This window comes from Homo sapiens, chromosome 11, assembly GCF_000001405.40.
Source record: "Homo sapiens chromosome 11, GRCh38.p14 Primary Assembly".
In the NCBI taxonomy this organism is placed as follows: domain Eukaryota; kingdom Metazoa; phylum Chordata; class Mammalia; order Primates; family Hominidae; genus Homo; species Homo sapiens.
In genome coordinates this window covers 60,349,247-60,371,042 of record NC_000011.10, presented here as the reverse complement: position 1 = coordinate 60,371,042, position 21,796 = coordinate 60,349,247, and the positions used below count along the sequence as shown (strand labels likewise).

General features: G+C 40.9%; 3 annotated features.

Moving 5' to 3' along the window:
• Positions 2,930–3,436: an enhancer, noted in NCBI's record as "H3K27ac-H3K4me1 hESC enhancer chr11:60135080-60135586 (GRCh37/hg19 assembly coordinates)". NCBI's record gives its function as "activates a minimal SCP1, AML or CMV promoter by ChIP-STARR-seq in naive H9 embryonic stem cells {active_cell/tissue: H9 hESC(naive)}" and the evidence as "EXISTENCE:reporter gene assay evidence [ECO:0000049][PMID:30033119]".
• Positions 7,058–7,157: an enhancer, noted in NCBI's record as "active region_4766". NCBI's record gives its function as "activates an Ori minimal core promoter by ATAC-STARR-seq in GM12878 lymphoblastoid cells {active_cell/tissue: GM12878}" and the evidence as "EXISTENCE:reporter gene assay evidence [ECO:0000049][PMID:35858748]".
• Positions 7,248–7,327: an enhancer, noted in NCBI's record as "active region_4765". NCBI's record gives its function as "activates an Ori minimal core promoter by ATAC-STARR-seq in GM12878 lymphoblastoid cells {active_cell/tissue: GM12878}" and the evidence as "EXISTENCE:reporter gene assay evidence [ECO:0000049][PMID:35858748]".

Genomic DNA, 21,796 nt, shown 5'->3' with positions numbered 1-21,796 from the left:
GATGAGCAGAACCCCCATGCCCCTCAAAACCACATAAAATACACAAATATATATGCAAACAAAACAATCCCCACAAACAAAACCCAATACAAATAATACTCTGCTGACAAAATTCTTGAGTGAGTCATTGTTTACACAGCTGTTAATTGTACAAGCTAGAAACCGAATCCGGTTCTCCATACTTTAAACTCATATTGTGCCAATCACGAAGGCTTCACAAAAACAAACTGAGACGTTCCTAGTCCTGGCAAAGGTAATATTTCCTAGGTAAACCTTTGGCTTCCCCGATAATTGGATTTGAAGGTAATTGTCTATGTCTGTGTTACACTGATGTCCAGCATCACCATAAGACATGTTGATGCAGTTACAAATTAAAGCATTTATGAGACCTTGAGAATCCAAGCTGATGAAATGCTCTCACCCTGGCCTTCATGAAATAGCTCATGTTTGCAATGCTGATACATATTCCATTATTTACTAATCTTGCTTCCCTGAGGTATTAATAGTTCTGCTGAGTATTGACAATAAATGGTAGAGAACAGGTACTATGGACCCCTGTAGGCAACACAGCATATAAGAAACAATGTTGGTCTTGGACTTATAAACTCTAAGTCTGAATCATAAATCTGGGTGAGTCACTATGGCTTTCTGTAGATTAATTTCTTCACCCATTAAATACTAGAAATCAATAAAACCAGGAGATTTTTAAGGTAATCCCAGCTATAGCATTAAACAAATGGTGCATTCTAAATGGTGGGGAAAGGTGACTGAGGTAATTATTAGTGAAAACAATTTTAACCTCACTTTTAATATTAGAATAACTTGAAGTTTATTTGCTCATTTGTACAATTACATTATTTCTAAAAATACCTAGATTAGTATATCAATTTGAGATTGCATTCCTTAATGCCAAAGCTTCACCAGTTAGAAATGCAGGCTTTTTCAAGAAGTCTAGGGAAACTGTCTAGAGCTAATTAACAAGACCTACGATATTGTAACCGCTCAGTGGGTTCTCTCTGCCCAGTTCCTAGACAGAGCCAGTTTATCAAGACAGGGGAATTGCCATAGAGAGAGTTTAATTCATGCACAGCTGACTCTATGGGAGACCCTCTAGACTTTTATTATTACTCAAATCAGTCTCCCCAAAGATTCAGGGATTAGGTTTTTTAAGGATAATTTGGTGAGTAAGGGGCCAGTGAGTTGGGAGTGCTGATTGCTTGGGTCGAAGATAAAATCACAGGGAATCAAAGCTGCCCTCTTGCACTTAGTCAGTTTCTGAGTGGGGGCCACAGGACCCAGATGAGCCAGTTTATTAATGTGGGTGGTACCAGCTGATCCATCAATTGCAGGGTCTGCAAAATATCCGAAGCACTGATCTTAGGTTTTACAATAGTGATGTTATCCCCAGGAGCGACTGGGGAGGGTGAGAACTTCGCAGCCTCCAGCTATATGACTCCTAAACCATAATTTCTAATTGTGTGGCTAATTGGTTACTCCTACAAAGGCAGTCTAGACCCCAGGCAGGAAGGGGTCTTGTTTTGGAAAGGAGATATTGTCTTTGTTTCAAACTGTAAATTAAGTTCCTCCCAAAGTTAGTTTGGCCTAGGCCCAGGAATGAACAAGGATGGCTTGGAGGTTAGAAGCAAGGTGAAGTTGGTTAGGTCAGATCTCTTTCACTGTAATAATGCTCTCAGCCAGAATTTTGCAATGGCCATTTCAGTATCATCAGTGTTTTCAGATTCTCAGGTTTTTGTGCTCAGTTCTCCATAAGGTGAGCTTTCATCTCCATGGGAGCTGTATGGTAACAAGTTGGATAATCCATTGTCAGCTTTCTATTTGCCTTTTCTTTTGAAAGACTATGAAGAACAAGAAGGAAAAGAAGGACGGTGGTGAGAGGAGAGCAGTAGAAGGGAGAGGAAGGGCTATGCCTAAATAAGAAATTAGCCCATTCCCACAAATTCCAGCAAAATTCTTCTTAGGTCTCATTAGCGAGAGCTATGTCACACTGCCATTTTTATATACAAAGAAGGCTGGGAAATATCATCTCTTAATTGTGCAGAGTCCCACTTCTCAATAAAGTAATCATTCTTTTATAAGAAAAATGGGGAGATCAGATAATAAAAAGACAAATTATGTTGACTATTATATTACTCTGTTTTCACACTGCTCTAAAGAAATACCTGAGACTGTGTAATTTATAAAGGAAAGAGGTTTAATTGACCCATAGTTCCACGTGGCTGGGGAAGCCTCAGGAAATTTACAACACAATCATGGCGGAAGGCAAAGGGGAAGCAAGGGACTTCTTCACATGGTGGCAGGAGACAGTGTGTGAGAGTGCAGGAAAAACTACTGCTTAGAAAACCATCAGATCTTATGAGAATTCACTCATGATCACAAGAATGGGCATAGGGGAAACTGTCCCCATAATCTAATCACCTCCCACTAGGTCTCTCCCTAAACACTTGGGGATTACAATTCAAGATGAGATTTGGATGGGGACACCATGCCTAACCATGTCAACTATCGACATTGAATTTGCAAGATAATTTCTATTGGAGTGTGTGGATTTATCTTGGTGAACAGGATTCCTTGCATATTTCAGATAACCCAATTGTGAACTTACTCAAAGATTTATCTGAAAATATTTGTTCTTAGAGCTCCCAAGATGGTGGTGGGCTGCTCCAAAGATGGCAGCAAGCCTTTTGTTCTCTGACCTGGGGTTCTTGGCCTCACGGATTCCAAGGAATGGAAGCTTGGGCCATGCTGTGAGTGTTATAGCTCTATTGGAAGCCGTGGATGACGGAAGAGAACTGTGGAACCTGGTGACTAGTGTTCAGCCTGATTAGGACGAACCCGGGCACTTAGCCGTGCAGGAACAATAGCGAGCCTTTAGGGGCAATGGGCGCCTCGCTGGATCAGGAGCGCAGGGGACACCCTGCCAGATCCGGAGGGGTAGAAGTCAGCGGTGGTTCTGCGACGGCGGCAAACTGCAGTGGTGGACGCAAGCGATAGCTCTGCTCCAGCCAGAACAAACACGGACCAGAAGAGCAATCAGTTGCAAGATTTAATAGAATGAAAACAGAGCTCCCTTACAAGGGAGGGGACTCAAAGGGGGTTGCCGCTCCCTGCTCGAATGCCTGGGTTTATATCCCGATCATTGTCCCTCCCACTGTGCTCTCAGGCAATATATGATTTGACTATTTCTTTACTTCCTGCTGTTAGCCTAATTTGTATTTTAGTGAGCCCTCTTTACTACCTGATTGGTCGTGTATGAGCTGAGTTACAAGACCTGTGTTTAAAGGTGGGTACCGTCACCTTCTCCAGCTAGGCTTAGGAATTCTTAGTTGGCCTAGGAAATCCAGCTAGTCCTGTCTCTCAAAATGATACCTTTATGACTTGAACAAATTTCTAAGTATTTTCTTAAACCAGATGGTAGCAGAGAATGGGAATGAAACAACTTTGCCATCTTTTTGTTGATATTACTAAAACGCATTTGGAAACATTTTATTTTTCATTTTTACACATACACACACTCCTATATCATATAAAATTTTAGTGGCATTTAGAAAACAAAATGTATTGCTCAAGTTTTTTCTTTAATTTTGGTTAGCAACTAATTTTGAGTATAAAAGGAAAATATTTTTAGGAAACAAATCAAAACTGAATGTTTTTTCTCACTGCAGCTGATTCAGTTGACCGAAACTGGTAAGTGATTATAAACAACAGGACTTGTTTTAAACAACTCACTTTCCCAGCCTAAAGACTGAAGACTGCTAGTCTTCAGTCTTCAATTTGCATAACTATTATGAAACCTCTTTCTATTCAGTTTGAAAAAACCCCTGAATTTCCCCCAGCTGGTGAATACTTAATGAATTTCCCCACAGGGAAAGAGCCACGGGGCTCTTTCCTTACTGGGCACATACACAAACACATAAACTCAGCTTTTCAATTTATATTCTATTTATAGCTCTAGTGATCTTTAATTTGTTCTTTAACACAAGTGTAAGATCTTGTCAGAAAATGGGATTCAGATTTTACCAACATCTGACCCAATACACATGTGATTTGAGATTCTTTTTAATTGATACATGATCTTTGTACATATTTATGGGGTATATATAATATTTTGTTACATGCATAGAATGTGTAATGATCAAGTCAGGGTATTTAGATTATTAACGTTGGTTAAAATTTTAAAAATAATGTTGGTTAAAATTTAAAAAAATTCCATCCTGGCTAACATGGGTGAAACCCCGTCTCTACTAAAAACACACACAAAAAATTAGCCGGGCACGGTGGCGGGTGCCTTTAGTCCCAGCTACTCTGGAGGCTGAGGCAGGAGAATGGCCTGAACCCGGGAGGCGGAGCTTGCAGTAAGCCGAGACCGCGCCACTACACTCCAGCTTGGGCGACACAGCGAGACTCCGTCTCAAAAAAAAAAAAATTTTTTTTTGAAAAATTATTTTATTGATACAAAATGCCTTCCTCTTTAAGTGGTGTTCAGATAAAATCTTTTCATCACTGAATCCGATATGAAACCGCCTTTGCAAAATTATGACTGAGACAGTGAAAGACATTTAACTTAACTGACTCCATTTTGCTTCTAACCTCCAAGCTGTCCTTGTTCATTCCTGGGAGTAGGCTGAACTAACTTTGGGAGAAACTTAGTTTATAGTTTACAGTTTAAACAAAGACAGTAACAGCCCTTTCCCAAAGCAGACCTCTTTCTTGCCTGGGGACTAGATTACTTTTGTAGGACTAACATTAGACACAAGATTAGAAATTATGGTTTAGGAGTCATGCAGCTGGAGGCTACAAGATTCTGACCCTTCCTAAACTGCTCCTAAGAGCAGTGCTTGAGATATTTTGCAGACCCCGATGGATTAGCTGGCACCACCCAGATCAATAAACTGGCTCATCTGATCTTGTGGCCCCCACCTAGGAACTGACTCAGCACAAAAAAGCAGTTTCAGGGTGGGTGAGGTGGCTCATGTTTATAATCCCAGCACTTTGGGAGGCCGAGGTGGGTAGATCACCTGAGGTCAGGAGTTTGAGACCAGCCTGGTGATTCTCCTGCCTCAGCCTTCTGAGTAGCTGGGATTACACGCGCCTACTACCATGCCCAGCTAATTTTTTTATTTTTAGTAAAGACAGGGTTTCACCATGTTGGCCAGGCTGATCACGAACTCCTGAACTCAGGCGATTCGTCCGCCACGGCCTCCCAAAGTGCTGGGATTACAGGCATGAGCCACCGTGCCTGGCCCCACAACTGTTCTTTCTAAGATCCTCAGTAGGGCTAGCTCTCCCCTGCTGCTTGTTTGAAATCTAAGATGTTACTACTGTCAGCTAATAGAAGAGTTCCTCAGTCACTTTAGTAATTAAAATATAGATTTATGCAAAAATCAAAATCCAACTGTCATTCATATTAAAATTTCTTCTTTTCCTCAGTTTGGCCTGCTTTAGGCAGGGCAGCTGACATGTAAAGTGGGGGTCAGTGCTATTTCTTCTCTAACTCTTCACCCTGAGGATTGCTAAGAGGGATTCCTGATCCTCACAGAGTCAGGGGCAGGAATGAGGAGAGAGGAACAGAAAAAGTCTCTCTCGATTGGCCGTTTCCCAACTCGATGTCAGTGCTATGCAGGCTGGTGGATGTTGAATGCATCTGTGGTTCCATCACTGGGATTCCTTGGCTGGGCTTCCTCTCAGTATCCTCATGGACTTAGCTGGCAGCTGACGATTATCCTATGTCCTGTCCCTGGATGTCCATCAGAAAATCTCCAGCCTCATTCTCTTCAAGGTCTCCTTGCTCCCTCCTGATTTCTTTTCAGAGCAAGCTCTAAGACCATCCATGTAGAATCTCTTTCACACAGCATACAGGTGGAAGTGCAGACCACCCCCACACAATCTACTCCTCTTGCTTAATTGTGCCACCATGAGAGCCACTCTAGGGTGGCTAGATGATTCCTGCCTCTTGGTCTTCATGCCCTTTTGTAGTTATTTCCCTGTAAATATAGGCAGGATCTGTGACTTGCTTTGAATAACCAGAATCCTGCAAAGGTGACAGGATGTATGTGATTTTGGGTATGTGATTATATGATCATGTCACAGAAGACTGTAAACTCTGTCTTACTGGTGTCTCATTCTCACCATTGTTGGCCTTGAGAAACCAATTTGTCATGTTGCAGTCTTGATATGGTAAGAGAGTATAAGCAGCCCTTAGGAATTGAGAGTGGTCTCTAGCCAATATCCTACAAAGACCTCGAGCCAACACCTGGCAAGAAATGAGACCATTTATCCTACAACTGCAAGGAACTGAATTCTAGCAATAACATTGTAAGCTTGGAAGTGGATCCTTCTCTAGTCAAACCTCATTTGAGGCCTCATCCCTGCCAATACCTTAAATGGAACTTGGTGAGACCTTGAAGCAAAGAACTCAGTTAAGTCATGCCCAGAGTCCCGACCTGTGAGGTAACAGGTGTGCTGTGTTAAACCTCTACGTTTGGGTGATTTATTATATAGCAATAGATAAAAACACTGGCTATAGAGTAGACAGTCCAGGTCTTAGCATTCTTTGGTTTCTCCTGGTGTGTTGGACTCAAGTTTCTCATTTTCCCTAAACTGCAGAGGATCTACAACATGATCCCCATGCGGTCCCATTCCAGCCTCTCTCTCTGAGCTGGAGATGAGGGGGAGGTTCCTCCTTCCTTCTCCTATAGTGACAGGAGGGAGGAAACCACACAAAACATCAACAATGTCCTTCTAACGAAATTCTCCAGTACAGTTTCCAAATGACATTCTGTTTCTAATGAAATCCTCTTCCTTCAGTCTTACTCAATTTCTTACTCTTTTACTCAATCTTTAATGTTTTATAATCTGGTTGAGAAAACCATGTTTGGCTCTTTTTTCTTAATTTCTACTTGGGTGAATGGGGTTTTATTGTGTAAATTAGGAGCGATTGTCATCTCTATGGCAAAACAAGAACGGGTGGTGGGTGTGGTCTCTTCAGGTGCAGACAATGAGGAGAAGCATGGTCTGTAGAAAATTTTACAACAATAACAAACTGCCATATGCTTTTTAGCATCCATTTTTAAACAATTCTAAACAGTATTGGTAACAGAATACTGCTCTCAGGAGCAACAACAACGAAAAAGATCTAAATTCTACCTGAATAATTACCTGCTCCGGGGGCTGACTCCTCCTTCTGTCCTGCCCCTTGGCACAATTCTGTGTCATCTCTTGTCTTCGGGCCACAGATGAAACTGAACAGAATGCCTCTCCTGTCTATGCTCTGTTATATATCTAGAGGGACAATTTAGCCTCTAGCTTTACACTGCCACATAGGGCTGAATTATACAGAAAAAGTAGTTCCTCAGGACACTTTGCTGCCATCTGCTGGGCAATTGTGAAAAGTACACAAAAAGTGGTTGGAGCCTCAGAGTTGCATAGCTTTCCCCCAGCACACACTTATGTAAGGGTGTTTTGTGTGTGTGCATGTGTTTGTGTAAATGCATGTGCCCCCAGCTATAAGAAAGCATATGGACCATTTAACACTATCGAAGATATGAAGAATCGAGTGCATAATTCCCTCCACATCTTACCATTTTCTTTGGTCTAGCAAGAGTGGTACCAGGAAGCCACTTGAGTGGTCTTGAGGATTCTAGGTGTGCCTGTGGGCAAGTGTTGGAGGGAGGAAGTGAGGAGGGTGTCTGGCTATGGAAGGGTGGTCTAGCTCTATCATCTAGCTCTGGTGTCTGGCTATGGAAGGGTAGTCTAGCTCTATCATCTAGCTCTATCATCTAGGGAAGCGAGGCAGGGAAAGATGGAAGAGGAAGGAAAGGAAGCTCTTAAGTCTTGATGAGATTACATTGTCAGGCTTTGTTCTAAGTGCTGGATATATATATTTTCTCATCCTGTCACCATGGGGTACTATTACATTTAACTATCTTCATTCTGAAAAGAGAGAGGAAGACCCCAAAAAGTTAAGGAAGTTGCTCAAGATATTTTTTTGTGTGTTTGAAGAAGTAAATAGGCTTCTGGGCAGAGTGCTCATACGTCTGGTCTGCTGGGTTGGATATCAGTGACCTTTCTGAGCCTACGCTGACCCTGAGTTTCAGGATCTGTAAGTGGCCCTAAGCTCCAAGACCAGACTTGCCCGCACCAGCAGGCTCTCTACCTTGGCTTTTGAAGCTGCGGCAGAAACAAATGCAGATGGCCAATTGTTATTTTCAGTGAGTGAACGTGGGGGCTTCCTTTGCTTCTGTCCTTAGAAATAAAAATAAATCTTCCAAGCCAGCTGCAACTCTGCCACCATACTTACTCTGACGACTGCAGTAGAATGTCAGCAACAGGTCATTGCAGGAACCTGAAACTTAGGTCTTTGTTTCCAAAGTTTGGGAAACACTCATGGTGTCTGAACATGGGGTGAGAAGGGAAAGGAAAACTGGGTTGTTTATAACTGTTGGGAAACAAAAATGTGCTATGTTTTCATGAGGTTTCTCTTCAATTGCTTTCCATTTGTTTGAGAAGAAATCTACTGCTTGGTTAATATGAAGTATCTCTTAGGCAGAAAGTTTTCCTTCCCATCGTTCTGGAGGGTATAGTTCCTTTGCACTTTATGACTCACACCTGACATTTTGTCCTGAAAAGAGTACTCACTGTTGTCTGAGGGGGCTACAGTGAAACACACAAAAAAGGAGGAAGGCAAGAAGGTCAAATGAGGAAAAACAACTATAAATATTTGCCACTCAGGGACTTTTATACATTTCAGAGCTGTATAAAAATGGTACATTAAATAATAATAAAATAACTTTGAGGTTCATAGGAGACTTATATTTTCTTCTTTTTCTTTTCTGTATTCCTTCTGAAAGAATCAGATATATAGAAAGGTGAGATGATAAATGACTCAGAATAATTTATAATGTTTATATGCTAATTCCAAAACTTTATACACATAGATAAAAATGCAGAAAATAATAAAACAGGTATCTACATATTTCCCCCAGTGATTCAAGTGATATTATCATTTTACATGATTATTTAGATTCACTTTTTTCCTCTCTACAGAAATAAAATGCTGCAGGTAGCCCCAAAGCTCTCCCTGTCTCCTCCTCCCCCTCCCTCCTTCCCCAGAGGTAGCCACAGTTAGGAGGGAACTTCATCTGTCTCCAGCCTCACATTTCCTTCCAGCAGAACTTCCTATAGAGAAACACACCTGTTTCTTTCCTCTCCTTAACCTGGTTCTCTTCAGGGAAGGAGGAATGCTGCACAAAGTTGCAGAGTTTGGAAGGAGGGCTTGGGCTTGTGTGGCTCAGCCCATCTGTGTTTCTTCATTTGTTTTGGAGACAGTCTGCCTGCTAGAAACCACTATCATCTGTTCTTCCCTTCCCTTGCTAGGGTTTGGAGGTGCCTCCTCTTATGGGGGAGGCCTGGGGTGACCCAGCTCTGCCAGTGACTGGTTGGACACATCAATTGAATTTCATTTGGCCTTGAACTGAAGGAATGCTTTTCCTTCAGCATATCAGGAATAAAGTGGTATTTTGGTTTTTCACCTGAGCATTTGCTGTATCTTATTTTGCAAGTCACTGTAAATATGGGACTAGAAGAAAGGGGTATTATTTATATTCCTAGTCCCTTAGTTCTCCTAAAAACATATGTTCAAAGACTAGGAACTTTGAAAAATAAATTAAAGCAAGTACTTGGGGAGATTGATGCATCTGACAGCGCCAGGAGGTAGACAATCGTAGGCAGACAGGGGCAGGAGTCCGGTGAACACCACCTTTAACCCAAAGAGAGTTTAAAGCCTGAAAGCCAAGCTACAAGTCTCAGATAAATCTGAGGCTGGATGGAGAACCTCTCTTCCCATTTGGCATGCTTTTCTCTGATTGGTCCCCACCCTTCACCACCCTTCCCCTGTTTTACATGTACCTACACTTCCATAATTGGCCTTTTACATTGTCATGCCCACTTTTGAGTGGTGTCTTTGTTTTAGCCTTTTCTGCATACTCACAAACTAATCAGCCTGCACTCCTCCATTCTGAGCCCATAAAAGCCTGGGACTCAGCCACATGGGAACTGCCCACCTCTGGGTGAGAGAGACCACCTGACTTTGGGTGGGGGACCATCCTTGTAACCCCCTCTCTGCTGAGAGTTGTTTTGTCACTTAATAAAATTCTTCCCCACCCTCCTCACCCTTCAATTGTCAACATAACCTCATTCTTCTTGAACGTGGGACAATAACTCAGGACCCACTGAATGTGAGTACAAAAAAAGCTGTAACACTGTGGCCCTTTCCCCTTCGCCAGTGGAGGGCAGCCACCCCATGCAACAGGAAGTAGCAGCAGGACCGAGCTAGCCCCAGAGCCATGGGCAGGATTAGGGCAATGGGACTGACAGAGCTGTTAACATGCCGCTGTTCACTGGGCTGCAGATGGCAGAACTAAAAGAGCTATTAGAATGTGGCAACACCCCCTCTGGGGCTTCAGGGATATGGGCATCCCTGCCTGGGTACCACCATGTTCCTCTTGTCTGAATGCCAGAGTCCACTGCGGGAGTTGCTTGTGACATGCCTGGTCCAGCTGCAAGCCCTGCACAGAGCCCACTCCTGTGCCGGTGATTGAAATAGCTGGCCCAACCCCACACTTGCTTACTCACACACCCCCTCCCACCAGAGGCTTATTGCACAGTTGCAGTGGCCATGGGATCTGTGCTGGAGTGCAAGACAGGTGTGGCCTGCCAGGCTGAGTAGATAGGGCATCTCCTGCAGTAAGCCTGGGCCCAAGCAAAGCCTGGGCAGGGGTGTCACTGGCTGGAGGTCTTCAGCTGGCAAAGAGGCCAAGAAAAATCCTGTGTTACATCTGTTGTAGCCTTGATTGGGTGGTTTGAAGTCAACAATCAAGTCCAGTGTTGGTTCCGCACTGGTAACACAGTAGTATGTCATTTAGGGGGGTCATGGGACACTGGGAGATGAAGTGGACAAGCCTTGTTTGAACAATGGATGCTTTGGGAACACTAAGCATCTTGAAGAATCAATGTAAGAGGTATGTTAGGAAGACAAAAATGTCCAGGCCAGAAAGCAAAACAAACAAACAAACAAACAAAAAACAAACCAACAGAATATAGTGTAATCAATGAACCACATCAACTTTACATCAACAGATATGGAAATGGATCCATTTAAGAAGCAGATGAATTGTTAGCAGCTTAGCAAAAGCCTTCCAAAATGTGGGAATGCTTTAAAAGGATGCAGAATTCTAGGGTCATATATAAATCCTGCAGAAATAAATGCTCCAAAGAAAAGAAACATTTCTGTTTCTCTGAAGTACTACAGCATTTTCGTATGAAGCACCACACTCAGGCCTGACAGTTCAAAGGCTGAGGAGATGCTCAGTTCTAGAATGGAGCACAGTGGCACCGTGACTAGCTGTCCTGAGCCTCCAAGGGCCACTGGCTCCCTAGGCCCTCATAGCAGCTTTGGTTCAGCCTTTCTCTCAGAGGTGTTCTTTGGCTGAAATTACAGTGAGGACAAGAGGAAAATTGTGCCTGTAAGGTTTGCTTTAGAAGCCTAAGTGAGTGCATTGAAAGAAATAGTGGCCATAGCTACTGTGGCAAAGGACTTTTGTCACTAGAGACAGATTTCACTTGATGCAACATGAGGATGCCAGGAACACAGAGACCAGAGAGGAAAAAAACATCAGGAGGTTTTGAGCAAGGCCAATGGGACAGAAGTGCCTCAAGAGTGACTTTGACACCTGGGACCACCATCAAATATCCAAACTTTGCAAAAGTACCACAATGTAAACCAAAAATAAAATTCTAAGGCCCCAAGTATCTGAATGGACTTCCTCCTCAGCCAGGGCTCTTTTAAAATGTAACCTGAAAGACTGGTTCAGGCCATGATGGGAAGTGTGGTTGAGACATGCCTCTTTATACCTCTCCAGCATTAACATCAACACAGACTTTAAGTCTGATAAGAAACATTTTACAGCCATGGCTGGGAGTGGTGGCTCACGCCTGTAATCCCAGTACTTTGGGAGGCCAAGGCATGTGGATCACTTTAGGTCAGGAGTTGGAGACCAGCCTGGCCAACATGGTGAAACCTTGTCTCTACTAAAAATTAGCGAGGTGTGATGGCATGCACCTGTAGTCGCAGCTACTTGGGAGGCTGAGGCAGGAGAATCGCTTTAACTCAGGATGTGGACGTTGCAGTGAGCCCAGATTGTGCCACTGCATTTCAGCCTGGGTGACAGAGGGAGACTCCATCTCAAAAAGAAAAAAAAAAGAAAGAAAAGAAATATTTTACAACCAATTATCTCTGAAGCCTGCTACCTGAAGGCTTCATCTGCATGATAAAACTTTGGTCTCCATAGCCTCTTATCTCAACCCAGACATTCCTTTCTATTGATTCCAGGTCTTTAAATAAATTCGACCAATTATCAACCAGAAAATGTTTAAATTTACCTATAGCCCGGAAGCTGCCCCATCACTCACTTCCTGCTTCAAATTGTCCCACCTTTCTGGACCAAACCAATATATATTTTAAATGTATAAGATTGATGTCTCATGCCTCCCTAGAATGTATAAAAGCAAGCTGCACCCCAACAGCCTTGAGCACATGTTCTCAGGACCTCCTGAAGGCTGTGTCGTGGGTCATGGTCACTCATATTAGGCTCAGAATAAATCTCTTCAAATATTTTACAGAGTTTGACACTTTTTATCAACAATAATGTCTCTAAGGCTCTAATGCTCTGAGAGGGAACATAATATGCACACGTGGATTTCTCCATCCTCCAATGAAAGCAGCATGAAAAGGTGCCTGAATTCAGCGTCAACTGATTTTAAGACAAATCATTGATTCTGGAAATCTGGAGTTTATTGTCATCCTTGAGGCTGAAAATCAAGGTTTCTTGTTCTCCATCTACCCTCCTTTCTTTAGATACTCCTGAGTTACTGCTTTGGTGTTTGGAAATAATATCATAGGTCTAGATTAAGTATGAGGTCTAGAAACGTAATTTTCCCTGGGCTAATTGTTTAAGGGGCTTGATTTTGGTTTCAACTTCTCTATTTTGCAAATGTGAAACGGGTACTAAGAAAAGTTGGAATAATGCCAATAAAAAAAAAATCCCCAACCCCATGCAGAATCTGAAGGAAACATCTCTGAACAAAATGTAGCAAAACAGAAAAATGGGGGCAGAATAATTTTGAGAGTGTTTGCTTAACTCCCAAAGTAAAGGAGTTTAAGTTTTTATTTTATTTCTTCCTGGGAACCTGGTATTGAACGAGAATTTACACCAAACTGTGTATGTATACAAATTGTGTGTGTATATGGTTGATAATGTAAAATTGGAGAGTTCATCTTATTTTGTGAATTCACCATGTGCCATTTTAGTGAGCTCTGTTGGACAACATGGTTTAGCAGAATACAGAGTGAAAAACAAAAGAGAAATTAAACAATTTGAAATAAACTTTTATACTAGAAAAGTTTTAGATTTACAGAAGAGTTGTGAAGATGGCAGAGAGTTCTCCTGTGCCCTGCACTCAGTTTCTCCAATTATGAACATCTTACATTAGTATGATACACCATTAATGAACAAACATTGATAACTGACGTTCATACTGTCCTATTCAGATTTCCTTAGATTTTGATCTAATGTCCTTTTTCTGTTCCAGGATCCCATCCAAGGTGCAGCATTCCAGTCAGGTGTCCATCTCCTTAGGCCCCTCTAGACTGTGGCAGTTTTTCATACTTTCCTTGTGTTTTATAACGTTAAGAGTTTTGAGGAGTACTGGTCAGGTGTTTTGTAGAAACTCCCTCAGTTGGGGTTTATCTGATATTTTTCTCAGATTAGACTGGTGTTTGGGTTTTGTGGAAGGAGATCACAGATGTAAAGAGCCAGTATCATCACATCCCATCAACAGTCCACACTATCAACATGACTTACCACTGTTATCTTAGTCACTTGATTGAGGTAGTGTATGTCAGGCTTCTTCACTGTAAATCTACTCTTTTTATTCCCCTTTACATTCTGTGTTCTTCGAAAGGAAGTCACTATTCACAGCCCAGACTTAAGGGGTGGGGAGTTACGTTTATGAATCCAAAGCCCGATGGCCTGTGTGTTCTTTTGCCATAGGCTCCACTCAGTGAACTGAGAGGTTGCTGAGACCTGTGATTCAAACAGCAAATGGAGTCAATGGGGTCCAGGAGAAGGGTGGGGTGGGTGGCCCTTTGGAGGTCCTCCTGAGTGTCCTGTTGGTCGGGGTCCAACTCCATAGTAGTGGCCTTTATTGTAAGCCAGTAGATGAATACTTTCAGGATATCTACGTGGGGTATTTGGGATTGCTGCCAGTAGCCAAATAGGTCTACAAATTGCTGCTCTTTTGGGGGTTTTTTTTTTTTGAGGGAGTGGGGAGGGAAAAAAAAAGGTCAAAATCTTGACAATCATCTTTGCAATGAGAGGCTTTGCTCCTTTCTGAATTATGCCCAGGAGTTTTATTAGTTTCATTTGGGTATCATTAGGTCCTTGTATCTTGTCTGTGTTAAAGGCCTAGCTGTGTTGCTGCATGTGGATCAACAGGGTGTCTAGTCCTTGTTGGGCAGTGCCTTTGTCTGAGTCCACCAAAGTACCATCAGTATAGCAGAAGGACAGAGCTCTCTTCAGGGGTGGGACTGTCTGTAAACCATAACCCATCTCTGCATGGCAGATAGCTAGGGGCTTAGGTGGCCTTGCATGGCAGATACCTGGGAGCTTAGGTGCGTGCGCTCTGCTGTATTGGTGGTGGCTGTTTTCAGGTCACTGTGAGGGACAGGGTCTACAGTGATGTGGCCACGTGGTGCCCTGCTCCCTCACTAAGTTCTACAGGATTGCCTTCTTTATCATGCTAACCTCTGAAGTCCGCAGTGAAATATTATTAAAACACCCATACATTCTCAGTATAATTACACCTTGGGAATGATATATGTTACACTGTGGGATTATATTTCCTTGTGTTTTAAATATGATTTTTCAGAGATTGAAAAATATCTGAAAATTTTCCCATTTCTTATTGCTCTGGTTTGGTTTAGATCAAGATCTTTTAAAATAAATTTGTGAGCATTCCCTTTTAAAAAAATCTTCTGAATATTTTGAATAATATTTCAATTGTCTTTTTTTTAGTATCACAAAACTCACTTCTCAGGGCATAGTGTTTTATTTATTTAGTCATTTATTTAATTTTATATGTATATTTTAAATATGTCTTCTAATTATTAATATATTTAATATTTATTTTAAATAGTATTCTGTATTCAATTTTATTTTGATTACTAATATATCAAATTTTAAATGTTTCATGGTATATTTTTCTTTCTACTCACCATGCTTTAATTTTTTAAATTTTTGTAATTTATTCTATTAGACTGACAAAATTTTGTTTAATTTCCTTCTTATTCCTTGGTGGAAGACCCAAGAATTGCCCTATGGATTAAACAACTATAGATGATTGGCATCTAGGCCCTCAAATTTGTACCAAATATTAAGTGGGCTCCTAGAAGCTGCAATTTTTTAGTTCCCATGCTGGATGTGGTTGTAGAGAACAATGGACCAAGGCAATCTTCCTGGAGAACATACCTGGAGGTGGCTCAATTGTCTGGCCAAGAAACACATGTTACTATTGAGACAGAGTTCCCTGTTTAGACAGAGCTCCCTTCATATTCCAATGCAGTGTTAAGTGCATGAGATTTCTGGCTTGATGTCCTCTTGGGAAAAGCTGAATGCCTATCATGTAGCTGTGATCATTGTTGGAAGTATGGATCAGAAGAAAGTGTTTTTGGGCATAGGGCAGACAAAGGAGTGACCTGTAGCATGCGCTTGTTGCCTGCCCAGAATCCATCTTCCATTTTCCTCTTTCAAACAGTCTGTGAATTCTGACTGGGGATCCATGTAACTCTGAGGACTGAGTCCGCCCTTGCCTCCACTGTGCTCTGGCTCTAGGCTAAGTCAATCAGTGCTTTTCACCCCCACTTTCCATTGCAATGATTGAACCAATGTGGACATATAACCTTACATGGCCTCGTCAGAATGATTATCAATAGTCTTGTTTTGAAACTTCAGACAACACTATTCTTCCAAACTGCAGGATGATAAATGGATGTAAGGCCAATACTTGATGTGGAAATTTTTGCTAAGAGGTGGGAAATAGGCCTAAGCATTAAGCCAACACACAGTAGAGGGTAGAGCTAATACACTGCACAGGTGTACACAGGAGTATGGGCTGGAGTCTCCATGACATCTAAACATCTAAACCAGTAGTTCCTATTTTTTGAAGTTTGCTTCAACTCTGTAGTTTTCAGATACATTAGCCTACATATTTTGTTTAGATTTTCTCTGTATGATAATGTACTTCTCCCTTTTCATCCTCCATTTCCATTTAGAAACACAAAAAATAATTTATTTAATGTCACAAAGACCACTGTTTCTCCAATTCAGATTGCAATTTAGATAGGTAAATGTATTAGTCCATTTTCACACTGCTGTAAAAACATACCTGAGACTAGGCAATTTACAAAAGAAAAAGGTGTATTGGACTTACAGTTCCACATGTCTGGAGAGGCCTCACAAACATGGCAGAAAGTGGAAGGCACATCTCACAAGGAGGCAGACAAAAGAAGAGAGATTGTGCAGGGAAACTCCCATTTTTAAAACCATCACATCTCATGAGACTCATTCACTATCAGGAGAACAGTGCAGGAAAGACCCGCCCCCATAATTCAATCACCTCCCACTGGGTTCCTCCCACGAAACGTGGGAATTGTGGCAGTTACAATTCAAGATGAGATTTGGGTGGGGACACAGACAAACAATATCAGTAAATGATCAAAACCCTTTACTCTTGGCCCTGGAAATGAAGGATGGAAAATGAGGAGGGAAAAATTAAGAAAGCAGGCCATTCTTTGGAAAAATAATGGAAAAATGATTTGGAGAGAGGCAATAGAAATCTTTATCTGGATTAATATATGAAAAACACTGACACAACCAAGTAAAAAGTTTAGCTCACCTCCCACCAAAAATTGTGGCTCTTCCTAATGAATACTTAGACAAACAGTTTTTCTAGGCTGTAGGAAATTGATACTGAGTTGAGGAGTCTTGATGAATACATCACAGGCTGCGGCATTTAATGCTACTATTGTGCACCCAATTGTGCAAAAGAAATATGCTAATACACTGCCTAGCATTGATATCAAGTAATTACACTGTCTACTATTGCTCTGTCATCTTATTTTGCTCTTGTTCCAAATTCACATATTTTTCCATGTTGCTGTTACTCTCTTTCCATGAAGGCATGTTTGAAAACAGATTTGTACAGCAACAATTCTCTGCTTCACACGGGAGGGACTCCTAAGTGACAGCCACTGTATATGTGAACAAGACTGCCATTTTTGTCCCACCTTTCTAGAGTTATCCTGGGTTTCTAGTCCAAATGAGCTACCATTCAGAATTATTTTATTCAGCCAATATTTATTAAGTATCTGGTGCATGCAACACTGCTAGAGACTAACAATACCTGTGGAAGATAATGTCCCTGCCCTTGAACACAGTACATAGGGAGCATCATGGGAGCACAAAGGTCACACAGTACATAGGGAGCATCATGGGAGCACAAAGGTCAGATATTAAACTTCTCTTGGAAGAGGAGGCTCCATTGAAAATTAACTTTCAAATCATGCTTTCAAAGAACAGCAGGTGCTTGTAGCCATATGCATTCTCGGTAGAGGGATCAATGTGCAGAGACTAGAGTTCTGAAACAGTTTGGCTTACTAGCAGACCTGGAAACACTTTGGTATTATTCTATCACAGAGGGAGAAGTGACAGATTCAGTTGGGAGAGAGATAAGATCCTGGATGTGCAAAATGAGAGATTTACAGGGCTTTGAATGCTTCCTGGAGACATTGGGCTTTGTCATAGAGACAATGTGTAGCCACAGAAGGATATAAGCAGCACAGTGACAAAATCCCATTTCTATTCCAAAGGTTCCTATTATAGTAGTGAATGTAAGGGTAAGGAAAGGCAAATAAAGGTCAGAAAATGCAAAATAATAAGACAAAGGATGGTGTATTAATATTAGGCAATAAAATGTCTAAGGAAAATTCTTAAATATGACAAAGGAATTCATTTATAATAATATGTTGTTTACAATTTTATGATCAAATAATATAATATACTACTAATAAAAAATGTGCCTGAGTATGAGAAACTAACAAAAACATAGTAATCATGAAAATTTTTAACAAATATAAGTTTTGATGAATGTAAGCCAAAAAATATGATTTGAATTATAAAATACTTGAATGAATCAACACTAAAGAAAGCATGCTTTTTAAGAATCCTTGGTACATTGGCAACAATTGGCCATATATCCATTCCAAATAAATAAAACAAAAATTGCAGGCCATGTTAACTAATCAATTGCAATAAAACTAGAAGTAAATAATACAAATATTTGTTACCAAAGTAAGATTAATTTCAAGCCCAATGAATAGTTATAGATTTTTAATTGTTAATAACCAGGTTAAACATCTAAAGTGTTCATATTAAAACAAAATATGAAATATTTGGTAATTCACCTAATTGAAAACATGAAGAATTTATATGATAAAAGATACACATTTTTTATTTAGGAAGGCAAATGGACACTTGACTGTACTGACATATTTCTGGTTGTCAATTATTCCAAATTTTTTTCAGATGTAATATAATGTGCTTCCAAATAAAACCCTTGTGGAACTTGACTTAATGATTTTTATGTTCATGTGGAATGAGTCTTACTAGCCAAAAGCATTTTATTTTATTTATTTATATTTTTGAGATGGAGTCTCATTCTGCCACCCAGGCTAGAGTGCAGTGGTGTGATCTCGGCTCACTGCAACGTCCACCTCCTAGGTTCAAGTGATTCTCTTGCCTCAGCCTCCTGAGTAGCTGGGATTACAGGCACGCACCACCATGCCCGGCTAATGTTTGTATTTTTATTAGAGATGGCGTTTCACCATGTTGGCCAGGCTGGTCTTGAACTCCTGATCTCAGGTGATCTGCCCACCTTGGCCTCCCAAAGTGCTAGATATACAGGCATGAGCCACCGCACCAGGCCCAAAATCATTTTAATAAAGAGTAGTGTTGAAGTAAGGATTGTACTGTCAGAAATTAAAATGCAGTGTACTAATACAAGTGATGTGTTACTTGTGTTGAAATAGACTGAATGACAAAAAAATGAGACTAGACAAATGTAGTACTACAATGAATGTAAATAAATGTTGAGTGTATTTTTAAAAATATATTTTAAACCATAGACAGAAACACAGTTAACTCAGTAAGTAATAATAGAACAAGTGGTTAAATGTGCGTGTGTGTGTGTGTTTGTGTGTGTGTGTGTGTACTGTAAACTCAAAAGTATCTGAGAGAAATGTGAAAGGAAAATATATTGGTACCCCCAAGTCACTAAGCCAAAAGGAAAAGTCAAGCAGGGACTTTCTTAGGGCAAACCTTCCTCCCATTCTATTCCTAAAATAAAGATACCTACTAAGATAAGCCACATACCTCTCTCACAAGGAATTTCCTTGTGGACAAGGGCAGACAGAACTCAAAGTCATGCCTCTGCTCACTGAATTAATGCAGATGTGATTGCCTCCTATGGAAAGGCTAATCAGAAACTCAAAAGAATGCAGCCATTTGTCTCTTACCTACCTATAACCAGGAAGACCCCTCCCAGCTTTGAGTTGTCCTGCCTTTCTGTGCAGAACCAATGTACCTCTTACAAATATTGATTGATATCTCATGTCTCCCTAAAATGTATAAAACCAAGCTATGCCCCAAAGTGGGGGCTGGAGATGGGGGTTACAGATCATAAGTAGCTCGAAACATTTTCTGGCTGGCAATTGATTGAAAGAGTTTATCTAAAGACCTGGAATCAATAGAAGGGAGTGTCTGGCTTAAGATAAGGAATTGTGGAGACCAAAGTTCTTATTGAAGACTCCTGGTAGCAGGCTTCAGCGTGAATAGATTGTAAATGTTTCCTATTGGACTTAAAGAGACTGTTCCATCAATCTTGAGGTCTCTGTTTTAATGTTAATGCTGGTAAGCTGTGCCTGAATTCCAAAGAAAGGATTGTATAATGCGGCGTGTCTAACCCCCACTTTCCATCATGGCCTGAACTAGTTTTTCAGGTTAATTTTGGAATGCCCTTGGCCAAGAGGAGGGTCCATCAGTTGATTGGGGAACTTGGAATTTTATTTCTGATTTAAAATATATACATTAGGTCCTGCCTCATATTACTTATACTATAACTTATACTATAACTATAACTATACTTATACTATAAATAAGAAAATGCCAAGTGATTAAAAAAATAAGAAAAAAGATGTCTGTTTCCTTGTTGTCATTTAGAGTTTGGAAGCAATTTCTACACATATAAAATATGTTTAATTATCCAAAAATTTCAGCATTTTTAAATTAACATAAAAATCTGATAAACAATTCAAAAGGCAAAGCCAAATTATAACAAGGGATAAATCTTTATAACATCTATAATAAGGCACAAGAGAAAGAAAGACAGAAAAAAATATAAATGGATGAAGTGCATGACCAGACAGACAATTTAACTAAAAGAAATAGACATGGCCATGCATTTATGCATGAAAAACAATGGATTTGAAAGCAAATAATTTATATAACAAAATAAACAAAAAGTGATGTGTCTTGAAATGCAAAAAAAAACACAAAAAACAAAAAAAGCAAGTTGTTGGTGGAGAAAAGCTCCAAGAGTACTGCAAGAGAAACAGTCAAGATATGAAAGTCCCTGGGAAAGAGGAAGCTGGGAAAGGACATGCAACACTGCAGTTTTTACATGATCAGCATGAAGAGTGTTGGAGTCCAAGTACCCAGGGAGGCTCTTTCAGTAAGAATATGTGGTAGCTGTTATGTGGTCTTTTAGGGACTGGTAGTGAAACGCAAGTCCTGCTGTGTTTTGATTGTGTCTAGTCAGAATGCACCACAATTATGTCCATGGGGCAATTTCATGGCATGGAAATGGTATATTTCCTTCAGGGCTGGAGAGAAGGTCAAGTAAGGAAGACTGAAGGAGAAAGTTGAACATCAAAGTTCTACATCTTGACATCCTTTGTCCTTACGTGTCTTTTAAAAACCTGGGACAAGAAAACTCCAACACTGGGTTTCTCCTGTACCTGGCATTTGGAATCTTGTATTACTGGTTCAGAGAAAGAACTGAAGAGGCCTCAGTGCACAGGCTCAGGACTGGTCCTGTAACAAAAGTGATCAGATGACACCCAGGTCCAGCTGATCTCAGCCAATGACCCGAGGTTGAACCTAAATATGGAAAACCACAGAATCAGGACTATAGCTGCCTACCACGCCCTGATTATTTTCCTTGGCCCAAGTGAACATCTTCTAGCTTTTCATTCATTAGAAGAGAAAGAGTGTTTTTTGTTTGTTTGCCTGGCAGCCTGAGAAGTAATAAACTGAGTCAGCTTCTGAAAGCCTTGGAGAGTAACAATGACCTCCAGGTTGCTATCCCTCATGGACCCTTAGGAAGATCATGGAATATTCTGCCTATCAGCCATCACCCAGGGCTTTCCTTTAAGAAGAAAAGCCAAGGGATTGGAGGTGCGTGGCCTAGGTGTAGCACATACTAGGAGGCAGAAGGTGTACTTTGGATCCGTGATCCAGATGTTGCCCAAACCCTCTTGGTATGGAATACGGGAGCTAAGCAGACCTAGTGTCTGTAAGGGCTCAAACCACTCAATACCCGACTCTGC